The sequence below is a fragment of the Homo sapiens genome, chromosome 18 (assembly GCF_000001405.40).
Source record: "Homo sapiens chromosome 18, GRCh38.p14 Primary Assembly".
Classification (NCBI taxonomy): domain Eukaryota; kingdom Metazoa; phylum Chordata; class Mammalia; order Primates; family Hominidae; genus Homo; species Homo sapiens.
In genome coordinates, this window is record NC_000018.10 from 30,340,122 (window position 1) to 30,355,841 (window position 15,720).

General features: G+C 38.1%; 2 long non-coding RNA genes across 2 annotated transcripts in view; one reads left to right on the forward strand and one right to left on the reverse strand.

Annotated features, from left to right (window-relative positions):
* LOC105372046 (uncharacterized) overlaps positions 1-9,952 on the forward strand; it is a 32,680-nt gene extending 22,728 nt beyond the window's left edge. The window contains exon 3 of the long non-coding RNA XR_001753387.2: positions 9,888-9,952. This is a non-coding gene — a long non-coding RNA (uncharacterized LOC105372046). The remainder of the gene's footprint in view (positions 1-9,887) is intronic.
* The window catches only part of LOC105372047 (uncharacterized), a 61,121-nt gene that overhangs the window by 14,383 nt on the left and 31,018 nt on the right, over positions 1-15,720 (reverse strand). The gene's annotated exons all lie outside the window — the stretch shown is intronic.

Below are 15,720 nucleotides of genomic sequence, written 5' to 3' on the forward strand. Positions count from 1 at the left end.
CCAAATTTACCAAATGCACGTCTGATCGGTTTTGAAATAGTATTCCTACATGGAAAATGATGTGTATTCCTAACATAATGAAACTAATTTTAGTAAACATAATAGAAAGCATAATAGAAAATAACAATAGGTTAGTCTTATATTTATTAAAATGCACGACTTTATGGTACACTACTATAAATAAAACTAAATTATAAACATGTCAGCAAGTTAGATGATTTATCTACTTAGAAAATGACCTTAGTTTCAATATTTAATTTTCAAAGGTATAGTTTGTACAAATCTGCCCAATTTATTTAAAAAGATTAGACATATTGAATATTCATGGTACATTACTAAATGGAGAAAGTAATTGATATTAGTTTGAGTAAAGTAAACTTTATATAGATAAACATCTTTATACAGTTTGTAATTAATCCATCTCTGGGAGTCACAATGAAATTCAGTTATTTATAATTCATTAATGGAAATGCATACTAGGAATATGTTTTTGTCATGGACTGTGGGCAAGATAAAAATTCTCTACAATAATCCAATAACTCTTAATGAATTGATTAAAAATGGTCTTATTAACATCTGATATATTGTATAATTTTGTAACAATTCTTAGTCTTCCTTTCTGTAAGAACTGAAGGTTACCATCATTTGCTATGAAAATTACCCTTTCCTTTGGGAAATACTTTAGCATTTGCATTGTTATCTAGGGCTGGACCACTTCTAAGACAAGTAAACAGAAAGGAGGTGATCAACCAATCAGAATATAAGTTGCAGTTACTGAAGTCACCCATTAAAACGTTTCTTCTTTGAAATTTATCCCTAGCAATTCAAATATTTTAACAATATTTATTGAGCAAAAGTGATTTTCAGGGAATTGAGATTCTAATGAGTCACAACCAATGACCATGGACCTCTTTTCATATGGTCCTTAATAGTGGGGATTTTTGCCTTTGAGAAGGCTGGTGCACAATTTATTTAGTCAAAATAGCAAATTAAGAATAGTTCCAGGCTCAATATAAGGTAACCTCTCCTTTCATGTAGAAAGAAGAATGTTAAACCTATTGAGTTCTTAACTGAGACCATTTCAACAATGTGGAGGTGGCATCATTTTGTGCATGTTTTTACTGTGATATACTAAGTAAAATAACACAAATAAATAAATGAAGTTGAATAGCAAATCTTAATTTTTCAACCACATATATATTTCTTCACTAGCTAAAAGTTTATTAGAATACTGAAGAGAAAATAACAAGCAATATTGCCATCCAATGGTGAAACTGTAACATTTAAGGCATATTAAATATAAAGATGGAGATATATGACAATATTTCAAAATAAGTAGAAATATTTATTTTGATTGCATTTTCTGGGAAATACAAAGGCAATGTTTAGAGTTATAAATACAGTAACTACTAATCTAAAGAAAGAAAGACACGAAGTTTGAGTTTTTACCTTTTTGAAGCACAAAACAGTAGAAGCTTTAGTTCATATTATTTAATTTTTAAAGTGTAACATAATGAAGGCTTCAAACTTATTTATATCATTATGTTGGTTCTTTGTTTTACATGATGGTTTGCAGATATTTTTCTTTCTTTGCCAATTAAGGATCTCTTTGAATATCATTTCCTCCTAAAAGACTTCGGAACTGATCTTTCTCTCTCCAAAGCCTCAAAACATTTTATGCCTGTATTGTTCTTCATTTCATTGTTTGATTTACCTTAGAATCATTGACATATTCATTGGTACACATCCTCAATTGGGAAAAGAAGTATTATGTTTTATTTATTTGTACAATATGTAACGATTAGTGCCTATCAGGTAAACAATAAATAATTGTTGAATACAGTGGAACTGCCTTAAACTCATGTCTGTGGATGTTTTAGTCTGTATATGCTACATAAATGATTTACTTTACTTGTGAGGTGGATTTCTCTCATTTGTGAAATTCAGAAAATTACCTCGAAATTTTTAAAATGTGGGCATCATTCCATGTTTGAGAGTGAGAGTAGCTAAAATAGCTAAATATCAGGTCGTTATAATGGAAAATCATAAAGTATTTGTATTTATAATGTATCCATTATAAATGCCTATTATATGTAACGTACTCAATAAATAGTATTTGGCAAAGTTGTACTGGTATCCATAATGGTAGTGATTATTTAGGTTGCTATTAGCCTGACACCCCAGACTTTTACATTTAGAATAAGAAATATATTTTTGATGATCCAGAATTTAACATATGCAGTAATTTGTATATATATTATTTGTTTTCATATTATTCATTTAACTATTCAAGAAATACATAAAGACCATCTAAAATAGATGTGCAAAACTTAGCTTCTCACTCTATTAGGTACTGGGAGTCAGGAATAAACAATATAGATTTACTCTCTGCCTCAATGAAATTAGCCTAGTGAGTAAATGGATATTGAATATACATAATTACAATTACAATAAGTGTTATAAACATGGTAGTTGTCTTAGAGTAGGCAGAGAGCTAGACATGAACAGGAGGAGGAGCCCCTAAGAAAAGACAGGTCTGGAAAATCTCACATCCCAGAGACCACCCAAAACATGGATGCAAGTTATGAGCAGAGAGGAAAGGAAATACCTATGCAGAGAGAAATGATTCCTAACATGCTCAGTCATTGTTCACTCTGCAGTTAATCTGTCAGAATGTAGTGAGCTACATGCTTATAAGGAGGGAAAGAGGGCAAAGGAGAAACTCCTAAGAGCCACGCAGGTGCAATAAATATAGATTTGACCACTATAGGACCTTCCTGGCATGGTGGTAATGAGTCATGCAGCCATTAGGTAGAATTTGTGTCCAACATTGGGCCCACGCATGCACACCAACCAATTCAGCATCATTATATATTTGAGAGCAAGAGGAAGTAAAATAGCTAAATATCAGGTTGTTATAGTGGAAAATTGTTAAGTGTTTGTACAGCACCTATTATTAATGTAAGAGAGGGTGTAATAAGCCCAGGGGGGAACTAGGTGGGGAAAAAGGCAGGGACTTAAGGCAGACGTGGTAAAACTAGACAAATGAAAAAGGTGGAGACTTATGACACAGGCAGCAGCTTCATGAAAAAAAAAATCCAACATCATAAAAACCCAGTGCAGAACTCTTGGGGCTGCTTCTGGCTCATTCTTTCAGCAGCCCACTGTCCCTTACCTTCCAGAGTGTACTGTCTCTTTAAATAAATATGGCTACTGCTCCGGCTACTGCTCCCAGTGGGGTCAGCCCTCTCTTGGAGTGTACCATTATCTTCTTATTAAACCTTTTGCTTACAGTACTAATTATTCTCTTGGCTGAATTCTTTCTGCAAGTATGACTAAGAACCAAGGACTCTGCATTTCCTCATAACAGTTGGATGGCAATAATGACAAGGTTTATCTAGGAGTGAGAAAGTCAGGGGATGCCATCTTGAAGAAGTGAAGCCCAAGGTTTAGTAGTAGTTAACTAGGTGACTGTGTTAGAGGGATGACAGAAAAGTTTCAGGGAGAAGTAACTACAGATAAAACCATTTGGAGGAGAAACAGAGAGCCTGGAACATTTGTGGGCTGAAAGAATTATTTGCTTAAGAGAGAGAATACAAAATTATTTGTAGAGCTTGGCTAAACCTTTTAAACTACGGTAAAGATTTTAGATTTAACTAAAAGTATAAAATTAATACATAAGTTTAGCTGAGTAGGAAGATTCAATAGCAGTTTACAAAATTTTTCAATATTCCTATATACAAAATTTGTATTTAGGTTAAGGAACCAAGGAGCCAAAACAATTATGAATCAGAGCAAAGGTGGAGAATTCACAAGACTCAATTTCAAAGCTTACTATAAAGCTATGACAGAGCAGGAGCACCAGTATTTCAGACAAACACCAGCTTTCGGACAAGTTCCAGCTTCTATCCTAGCCTCATGCATTTCAAGAAAATTACTTCTCTTTTAACAACAAGGAGCCAGAAAGAGCAGACAGTAGAACACAGATCAGACAGTTTGGACATGGGGAGCCGGCGGGGGAGTCTCTTGGGTAACTTCCACACTTCACCCTCATACATGGGCCCCAGTAAAAGTGGGCCTTAATAAGCACATTCCTTTATTAGGAAGGTGCACTTATATTCAGGTGCACTAAGTTAGGGAAACTAAAAGCAGACTCGGTGGGTATGCCTGCAGCTGTAGAAAGATGTATGGGAACAGACATACAACTCTCACTCCCAAATAAGCACAACAAAGAAACACAGAAGCAGTCCAAGCCTCTGATAAATTCTCCCACCCTAAATCCTTAAAAACTCTTAGTCCATAGGAGAGAGTGCCCCTGACCTAACTTGGCCAGAAGCCCCTCTCATGTTTATTCTCTAAAATAAACCTGTCTTTAACTGTCAAGCCACTTTTTCTGTCTCTTTCCTCTCTCTTTAATTCTTACAAGCTACAAAAATCTGGTAAAACAAGACTCCAAGTTTTGCTTGAGAGAAAACCCTATGCATACTCCACCATGGGGTTTAGGTCTACTGACCTCACTCTTGCTCCAGATACAAGGCTTTATAATTGTGTGTAAATTAATACACCCTGTCTCAAGTATGGTTATCCAAAAGCCAACCTTGAGCCAAGGTTTTATGTGTAAGTTATTTATGATGGTGCATGAACTGTCATGGGAGACTGTTAACAGAGTGAAGAAAGCAGCACTTCAAGAACTAGCTTAGGCAAAGTCTTGAAAATAGTAGCTTCAGCCTTTCCCTGTAGTTAGGCCTTACTGACGCAGGCTAGCTGGGCTTTCCTGTCCCCAACCCTAGTTATAGTTAGTTCATTCCTGTAAGAATTTTGCTGTGCATCTGACAGCTCCCTTGCTCTTTCTTTTGTGACTGAAGCTTAGAAGATATCAGGTTAATTCAAACATTTATGATGTTAAGTGGAGACATTTAAAAATTAAGTCAATAGAGTGAAAAGTAAAGCAAAGAAATAGAAAGAAACAGTCCTATAACCTTACTCTAACTCTGAATGCAGATTTGCCTGAGGCTAGATTCAACCTGGATGCTCCAGTTACTCAGTTTTATGAACCAATATATTCTTCTCCCACCTTCTGCTTTCTTTGTTTAAGGCATTTGAATTGGGTTTTTGGCTGTTTCACAAAAAAGTGAAAAGTAATACAGGGCCTCAGAAATTCATCCTAAAACAAACGATTCCAGAGAAGCATTTTGAAGGATATACAGGAGTGAATTGAGTAAATAGATCACTCTGACTTCCACTGGTTCCTGAGGTTATATTAAGGCACTGCAGAGAGTGAGGGGACATAAGAGGATCAGCCTCATCATGAAGTAGGGTATGAATTTTTGTTTATTTTATTTTGATAAGTTGGAAACAGAAATTTACTCAGAATAGCTTGCATATAACCATTTACCAATCTGCCAAAACTAATAGATATAAGTAATTTGTCAACGTAATTTATCAGAATTAAAATTCCTGGTATTTCTCCTTTGCAGTTCAATCCCCAACTCTCCTTCCTCAGAGACAAGCACTATCATAATTTGATGCCTATCTTTCCCATTCATGTTTTATAGATATCACACATTCACAAGGTAGGTGTGTGTATGTTAAAACCACATACATATACAGGAAATAAATTTGTTTTATATACCATATTTCAATCAATATTATATTTTAATAGATATAATTTAATTTAAATGCTATCAAATTCCATCAGCTGGCTACCCTCCAATTTCTTCACATTTAACAAATGTATCTTTTAAAATTTATTTTTTAAACTTTCTGTGTTTACTTAACTAGTTTTATTACTTGTATTCAGCATAATAGCTGAATTTAAAGTCTTTTTTCCTAATTAGAGAGGTATATCACACACACAAACACACACACACATACACACACACACATATATATAAACCATGTATATATACACATATATTTTATATATGTGTATATATACATATAAAACCATATATATTTTTTAAATATACATATAAAACCATGTATATATATATTTTATATATATATATACATGGTTTTATTTTTTTTTTTCTAGACTGGGTTTTGCTCTGTCACCCAGGCTGGAGTGCAGTGGTGTGATCATGGCTCACTGCAGGCTCGACCTCCCAGGCTCAAGCTATCCACTATCCTCTCACCTAAGCCTCCTGAGTAGCTAGGACTACAGGCAGATGCCTCCACATCTAGCTAATTTTTAAAAATTTTCTAGAGTCAAGATCTCACTTTGTTGTCCAGACTGGTCTAGAATATTAATTTTAGGAGTTATGTTAGGAGTTATTATTGACATTTTATTTTGGAATTTATATTTACTACACTCTACTTTTTTTTCTTTTTTCCTGACTTCTTTTTGAATGAGCAATTTTTCTTTTTCTTCATTTTCTTCTACCCAGTAACTTCCTATTTTCTATTTCTATCATTTTAGTAAATTATACATGTTTTAACATTTATATCTTATTGCTCCTCACTAAAAGATACATACTCTAGAACACAAACTATGATATGCATCTGTATTAGTCTTTGTTCATGCTGCTGATAAAGACATACTCAAGACTGGGAAGAAAAGAGGTTTAATAGACTTACAGTTCCAGATTGTCGGGGAGGCCTCACAACCATGGTGGAAGGCAAGGAGGAGCAAGTTGTATCTTACATGGATGGCGGCAGGCAAGAGAGAGCTTGTGCAAGGAAATTCCCATTTTAAAACCATCAGCTCTCATGAAACTAAGTCACTATCATGAAAACAGCTCAAGGAAAGACCCACCCCATAATTCAATCACCTCCTATGAGTTTCCTCCCATGACATGTGGGAATTGTGGGAGTTACAATTTAAGATGAGATTTGGGTGGGGACAAATCCAAACCATATCAACCACACTTTGACCCATCCCAAATTTCATGTCCTCACATATCAAAACTAATCATGTCTTCCCAACAGTCCCCCAGGGTCTTAACTCATTTCAGCATTAACTCAAAGGTCCACAGTCCAATGTATCATCTGAAATAAGGCAAGTCCCTTTCAGCTATGAGCCTGTAAAATCAAAAGCAAGTTAGTTACTTCCATGATACAACTTGGGTACAGGCATTAGGTAAATACAACGATTCTAAATGGGAGAAATTGGCCCCGACAAAGGGACTACAGGTCCCATGCAAGTCCAAAATCCAGCAGAGCAGTCAAATCTTAAAGCTCAAAAGTGATCTCCTTTGACTCCATGTCTCACATCCAGGTCATGCTGATGCAAGAGGTGGATTCCCATGGTCTTGGGAAACTCCACCCCTGTGGCTTTGCAGAATACAACCTTCCTCCAGGCTCCTTTCATGAGCTGGCATTGAGCGCCTGCTGCTTTTCCAGGCCCACAGTGCAAGATGTGGGCGGATCTACCTTTCTGGGGTCTGGGGGATGGTGGCCCTCTTCTCAAAGCTCCACTAGGTGGTGCCCCAGTGGGAATTTTGTGTGGGGGCACTGACCCCACATTTCCCTTCTGCACTGCCCTAGCAGAGGCTCTCTATGAGGACCCCACCCCTTCAGCAAACTTCTGCCTGAACATCTAGGCATTCCATACATCCTCTGAAATCTAGGCTGAGGTGCCCAAACCTCGATTCTTGACTTCTGTACACCTGCAGGCTCAACACCATGTGGAAGCTACTAAGGTCTGGGGCTTGCGCCTTCTGAAGCCACTGCCTGACCTGTACCTTGGCCCCTTTTAGTCATGGCTAGAGAAGCTGGGATGCAGGGCAGCAAGTTCCTAGACTGCACACAGCATGGGGACCCTGGGCCTGGCCCACAAAACCATTTTTTCCTCCTAGGCCTCTGGGTCTGTGATTGGAGGGGCTGCCATGAAGACCTCTGAATTGCCCTGAAGACATTTTTTCAATTGTCTTGGGGATTAACATCCAGCTCATCATTACTTATGCAAATTTCTGCAGCCAGTTTGAATTTCTTCAGAAAATGGGATTTTCTTTTCTATTGCATTGTCAGGCTGCAAATTTTCTTAACTTTTATGCTCTGCTTCCCTTATAAAACTGAATGTTTTTAACAGTACCCAAGTCACATCTTGAATGCTTTGCTACTTAGAAATTTCTTCTACCAGATATCCTAAATTATCTCTCTCAAGTTAAAGAATCCACAAATCTCTAGGGCAGGGGCAAAATGTCACCAATCTCTTTGTTAAAGCATAACAAGGGTCACCTTTGCTCCAGTTCCCAACAACTTTCTCATCTCCATCTGAGACCACCTTAACCTGGATGTCATTGTCCATATCATTGTCAGCATTTTGGTCAAAGCCATTCAAAAAGTCTCTAGGGAGTTCCAAACTCTCCCACATCTTCCTGTCTTCTTCTGAGCCCTCCAAACTATTCAAACTTCTGCCTATTACCCAGTTCCAAAGTCGCTTCCACATTTCTGGGTATCTTTTCAGCAAAGCCTCACTCTACTGGTACCAATTTACTGTATTAGTCTGTTTTCATGCTGCTGATAAAGATGTACTTCAGACTGGGAAGAACTTGATGTTTAATGGACTTACAGTTCCCCGTAGCTGAGGAAGCCTCACAATCATGGCAGAAGGCAAGGAGGAGCAAGTCACATCTTTCATGGATGGTGGTAGGCAAGAGAGAGCTTGTGCAGGGAAAGTCCCATTTTTAAAACCATCAGTTCTCATGAGAATCATTCACTATCACAAGAACAGTGCAGGAAAGTCCCACCCCCATAATCCAATCCCCTCCCATCGGGTTCCTTCCACTACACGTGAGAATTGTGGGAGTTACTATTCAAGATGAGATTTGGGTGGGGACACTGCAAAGCCATATCAGCATCTCAGGAGATTTCTTATTCTCTGAGGGCTAGAGGCATATTAAATATCCCTACCTACCAGAGCAGCACAGTGAGTATGTTTACATTTGGTTCAGAGAATGCATCAGAAACTCCTCTCTCTTATATTGACTTTTACATGAGGAACAGAGAACTAAATAGAAAAACTAATAGAAAAGCTAATACCTAATGAATATGTGTGTGTGTGTGTGTGTCTGTTTTTGTGTGTATGTCTATGTGTTCCATAAATGGATTTAGAATAGATTCTTACATATGGAGCTGCAGCGTCAAAGGAAATGTTTTAAAAGTGATAGAATGTCTAAAAGACCATTTATGCTTGAAAAACTGGACACGTTAGGAATACTCTGCCATATCATTCCTATCAACTCAGATTATTCTTACTACTAACTACACTCTGAAGCTCCACAAGGAGAAAAAATCCACCATTTGCTGCCTTATTTTCTATTCATACTTTCTTGTAATACAAGCAGACAGAATTGGATCCATAAATGAAGTTTATAGTGCCTGTGTGGGTACGACAAGGTAAAGGGAACATATCACAGACTTTAAAAACAGATCTTGTTTCAAGGATGATTATCACTCTCTTTCTCTACTTTTGGAAAAAGAAAAGTTCCCACTTGTTTGTTTTGTCTGAAATAATAAACTTATACGAAAACACATGTGTAAATGTTGAACTGTAAAATAAAAATGTAAGGTATAAAGGGGCTCTTTACCAGTGAAACAGCTGGTAGATTTCTAATATTGCTTGTAAGCTCTTTTCAACTTGTTCTTCCATTGAATGTTTGTGTGTGGAACAGTTACACATTCAATTATTAAGTATATGTGCGCAAAATAGTTACCATACATTAACTTGGCATCAATAAATGTGTGCTTTGATAAAAAAAATTAGGTTTTTCATTTCAGTCTCTCCTGCAACTGATGTTTATTGCTTAGTGGAAAAGCTGTGTCTCAGAAATGTATGGATTTCTTGGCTTTCCCAAGAGAAAAGAGAGGAGAAAGTCAGCAGGACATGAAAGTGTACTCTGGGATCAGATTTTCTTTGTGTGTCCACTAATTTATTTGTTTTTTAGGCATTTTATAAAACACTGAGAAGGCAATAGAGATTCTACTTCATCCAGGACAGAGAGAATAGGCCATAATTCTGGTGAAAGAAAATATTGAAAACTCCATCTTGGCCTGAAGTGTTAAATCAAGGAGTCTGGACCTGACTTGAAATAAGGTCAGAATGACAAGTTCAAAGGTATCTTAAGTGGGTGGATTAAGCTTTGCCTTTTAGTGAACATTCTTGGGGTGTTCAGTAACTAGGCGAGGCAGAAGTAGAGGTCATCATGAAAGTCCATAGGAAGATCACTCTATTCACTGCCTTTTTTGTGGTGTGCCAAAGTGTGAAGGAGGACAGAATTATCAGTTCTCCTAAGGAAGGACAAAACCACTCCATTGGAATCAGAAGACTGCTAAACCTTCATTTGAAATCATTGTGAGACTCTCTTTTAAATACATACTTTGTGTTATAATTTACTCAGTCAGCAAATATCTATGAAGTACCTACTATGTGCTGGGCACTGCTTTAAGTGCTTGGGATATAGCAGTTAAAAATGATAAAAGGCAGGCCAGGCACAGTGGCACATGGCTGTAATCTCTACACTTTGAGAGGATCACTTGACCCCAGGAGTTCAAGAACAGCCTGGGCAACAGAGTGAGGCCTCGTCTCTACAAAAAATTTTAAAAAAATAAATATTAAACATTTTAAAAATTTAAAAATAGTTGGATGTGGTGGCACACATTTGTAGTCCTACTTTGGAGGCCTGGGTGGGAAGATTACTTGAGCCCAGGAGTTCGAGGCTGCAGTGAGCTACGATCATGCCACTGTGCCAGAGTGCCAGGGTGACAGAGCAACACCTTATCTCTAAATAATAATAATAAATAATAACATTATTATTATTAACATAAAGGCACAAAGCCCTGCCTTCATAGAGCTGACACATAATCAGATAAGTCAGATAGTAAACAATGCTTTAACACAGCAGAGTATAACACAAAAACATAATGAATATGAAGTGCACATTATATGTTATAAGATGGCGCATGTAGTAAAGAAATACAGACTCCTATGAAGGTGAGGGGATGGATTGTGTCAGGGCAGGCCTCAGTGATTTGTGCAAAGACTTAAAGGATATAGGGAATGAGCCAAGGGAATGGTTGTAGAAAAAATATTTAAGGCAGTCTGAATGAACAAAATAAAAGGCCTACACAGCAGCAGGTTGGGTATATTCAATAACAAGAAGACCATGTGGGCTTGAAGTCACATGACTTGAAGGGACAAATCCTAGAAGATGTAGTCTTAGAAGTGACAGGGCCCAAATTGTATAAGGCTCCGTAGGCCTTTGGATGTACTTTGGCATTTGCTCTGAGTAAAATGGGGATTGTTGAAAGGTTTCAAGCATGTCTTTTAAATAATTAAAACTTCTTGCTATAAAATTACTAGGACATCTCCATTCCATTAATGCTTCAATAAGATCTTTAAAATTTACTTTGTCTTTTTAGGAATAGAATACACTCTAAGAGGCTTAAATCATTTTCTATTCTATGTCAGTTACTTCATCAGAAAAATTAAGTTATCCAGAGTTTCTGTCTTCTGAATGGTGGACTCTATTTCTACTTTTTAAAAATACTCCTCCCAACTTCTGTCTAAGAAAAATTTACATTTGAGGAGGGATTCTCTACTCTTAAATGAAGGGTCTATTAGAGGATTCTCAATAACACTAAATGGGTCTTTTTATAACTGAAATGGATTTATTTCTTTTAAACAATATAATGTTTAAGTCATTTTTTAAACAGATGCAAATTTATTTTCTATTAGTGTGCCATTTAGAATTTTATTGACAATAAGATACGAGGAAATATCACTGATAATCTTATTTATGACTTGGTAAAATCTCTAAGATTTTTTTATTCTCTCAATCTCCCAGCTCTGTTCTCAATTACTTTCTTTAGCTCATTATATAAAAACAAACAAACGAACAGAGGCAATGAGAATAAGTAAAAATCCATTGGCTATTTTTCTGTCACCCATTTTTTTTTTGGCATTTTCTTTATCTGCAAGTTTTTCATTAAAAATTATCAACCCAGTGATGGTAGGTAGATCCCCACTTTTGAATTAGGCATAGACACTGATACAACTTTACCCAAATATTACTCTAGTGTATTCAATATATTGAAACATGCTATTAATAATTATTGCCAACTTTTATGTAAATACTTTTTATGAACCCCCAAATTTGGCCTATCTTGCTTTCTATTTCAGATTAGCATAAGATACTCTTAACTAAGAACGTGTGAGGGCACATAGTCTCCTAGGAAAAACCAAAACGAACACATTGTGGACTCTTGGAAAGTGTTCATATCAATGATTTGTTTCTAACTTAATGTTAATGGCCGCAGCAGCCTGTCTGCAGTGGCCACTGCGAAGATGCTGCAGTAGGGAAGGTGTAGCCAGGACAGGTTCCTTGGAGACTGTGGGAGCCGGGAACAGGTGGGAACCCCGCCTCTTATCGAGTTGGTGAGGCAGGAGCCCCACACTCCTGGGCGCAGCTGTAGCTGACCAGCTGAGGCTCCAGACCCAGGCATTCCTGTGCTCTTGGGAGCCCGGGAAGCCCCTCTTCCCCCGCAGGCTTGGAAATGCCTGCTCTAGTTCCCTGGCCTCTGCCTGCTCTAGGGCAGAGCAAAGTTGTGTCCACGGCCGGGTGCTCTTGCAACCCAGTCGGGTGTGCGCGGCCTCGGGGCGACACTGACATGCCAGCCCCCGGTCACCATGGCCCCCTCCAGACTTTGGGTACTGACGAGCATGGGAGGGAGGCCAAGGCGAGGCTTAGGGAGGCTCAGTGCAGGCGCCCCTTGACACAAACAACCTGGGCCTGCGATGGATGGCATGTTGATGGCGGCAGGAGGCAGACAGGCTCCTGGGTGGAAATGGGCGGGTCCCCGGTGAAACCCCATCTTCAAGCCAGGGATGGCCTGAAGCCTGGGGTTCAAGCTGCCAGTTCTTGGTGGAGTCTGCGGCTCACAGTGAGAAGGTATGATGCTTCTTCTGGGCCTGCCCACAGTTGCCCACAAACCGATCAGCACGCACTTCTTTCCTTCTGAGCCCATAATAACCCAGAACTGATGTCAGGACTGACATCAGGACTACCAGCTGCAGGAAGGAGCTACCCACTGCAGGGGTCCTGAAAGCTGTTGTCACTCGACGAAGCTCCTCTCCTCCTTGTTTACCCTCCAGTTGTCCACATAGGAGATTCTTCCTGGATGTAGGACAAGATCTCGGGACCTGTCAAATGGTGGGACTGAAAGAGCTGTAACACAAACAGGGCTGAAACACATGCCCTGCCTTCGACCCTGCTCGCCACCTAGCAGTCAACCAGAAGAGAAGAGCTGTGGCCCCTCTGGGAGCCCAGAGAAGAAGAGAATTGTTGTGGCCCTTCCGGGATCCCAGACCTAGGGACTCCTTGAGTCAGGGCTGTGACAACCTCTTTGGGGCTCTGCAGTTCCTGGCATCTCCAAGCTTCCAGGCACCACTGTGTTCACTCATCCACAGGCGGATGCCCACAGTGGAAGCCATGTGCGCTATATCTGATTTAGCCACAGCTTCACAGGGAGTCAGCACCTGTGCCAGTGCCTGAAGCTGCCCACCCTGTCACAGCCAGCGTGTCTGGCTGTAAGCAGTGGCTGGACCCCACTCTTGCTCGCCCACACACCCTTCACCACTTCGCACCTGGCTCACCTTTGACAGGTGTGGGATCCAGGCCAGTAGTGTGAGCTGAGTGCAGCCTTCCTGGCCAAGTGTGTGGAATGAGTCCAGTGGACACGAGCAATACTCAGGCAGAAGGTGCCACCAGACACAGAAGTTTCTGGCTGGTGAAGCAACACCCTAAGCATCCTGTGACAATGCCACTGAGAAGACTTATGTATAAGCTGATCATGTCTCACATAAACCATGTAAATATGGTTCATGCTTATCAAAATAGAAGATGTAATTATGATTAATGATAGGAAAATACACATCTAAATAATTCTTACAGATTATATTTAGAAGCCTAGTTAAGGCATGCAAATTTGAAGTAAAATGTATTGATGAAATAATTGTTAAGTCTACCAACAACTTCCTAATAGACAGATTTCGGTTTAATCTAATAGCTAATGAAATAATATTTAAAATAGTTTGATCCTAGGTAATAACAACATAATGCTAATTTACTCCTATCTAAAAGTAGAACACATAGGTAATGAGATAGCTATATTACATGATAAAAAGGAGACTAGATTAATCTAGAAAAACCCAGTGTCCTGACTGCAGTTTAATGAGAGTTTAACTGATTGAATTTTCTTTAAGGATTATCAAATACATATGCCCCTTTTACACATACTCGTTTTTTCCTTTATAAAGTTATCTATATCTTTGTGTCATAATAAAATAATGTAAGGTGTTTTATTTTTATAGGATATTTTTTCTAACATGTCAGGAAAGTAGTTGTACAGTACAAAGAAAGGGTTAAGTTCCTAATAACATCAGAAAAAAATTACTTTGTAGCTTGATACCCAGGATTTCAGAGTCAATAAATTAAAATGTCACTCCAGCATTTGAAAAAATATATATGAATAATAAATACAATCTTCAAGAGTATCTCCTCCTGAAAAAACGAATAATGGTCATAACTTGTCAGTGTGTTAGAGAATAAAAGATTGCTACTAAAAGTGAACTCATTTTTCTTGCTTCTAAAAGAAATTATTTCTTAATGTTAGGGGGAAAAAACACTTCAAGCCTAAAGACAAGCCGTTTGAAACTACCCCATGGGAAGAAGAGAACTGCAAAGGTGTTCTCTGGATAGATTTTGATCTCTGCAAGGATATGAACTATAATGATCAGAGGGCATTCTAAAATGCTACAGAAATTGTTAAACCAAGGAATAACTCAACTGGACACCCTTTATCTTTTCAAGATTGAATGCCAGTGAGTAAGAGCTTCAGGCTACTAGAGCAATGATGGTTTTTTGAATTATAAAGATTTGATATTAAATAATTGGAGATTCTTGTCAGCATGTTGTTAAGCTAATTTTAAGTCCTTCAAGGCTTAGGAAATAGCCCATGTCTACATACAGCTCTACATGTTATGTTCTAATTAGCTAAGATCACATTTTTATCAATTGAATAAAGTCTATAATTCCATATTAAATAAAAACTATAATTCTTTAAAAAAGACAGCATGGTTTGTTTCCTAAATAAAATTCCGAATCTTGATGTAAATGTATACTTTTGTTGAATTTTTACAATTATTTATGTGTAAGTAACAGATACAATGTATTTTGTACAATTTAACTTTTTAAAATACTCTACACAGGAAATGCCAAAGATTTAATAAAACAGTTACGAATAATGTACAATACACTGAATGGTTAAGAAAATTAGATTTAATCGTCCTTTGTTTTTGTTTTCCATAGTATAAAATATACCATATATGGCCAGGTACGGTGGCTCACACCTGTAATCCCAGCACTTTGGGAGGCTGAGCTAGGCAGATCAGGAGATCAGGAATTCGAGTCCAGCCTGGCCAACATAATGAAACCCCGTCTCTACTAAAAATACAAAAATTAGTTGGATGTGATGGCAGGTGCCTGTAGTCTCAGGTACAGGCTGAGGCGGGAGAATCGCTTGAACTCGGGAGGCGGAGGTTGCAGTAAGCCGAGACCATGCCGCTGCACTCCAGCCAGGATAATAGAGTGATACTCCTTCTCAAAAAAAAAAAACCCACAAATTTTGCAAGTCTATGTTTTGTATTAATTCTCTTCACGTACCAAGATACTAAAGACATTCTAATAGCTACAGTTTTTTTTAGTTTTCTGTTCAAGGATT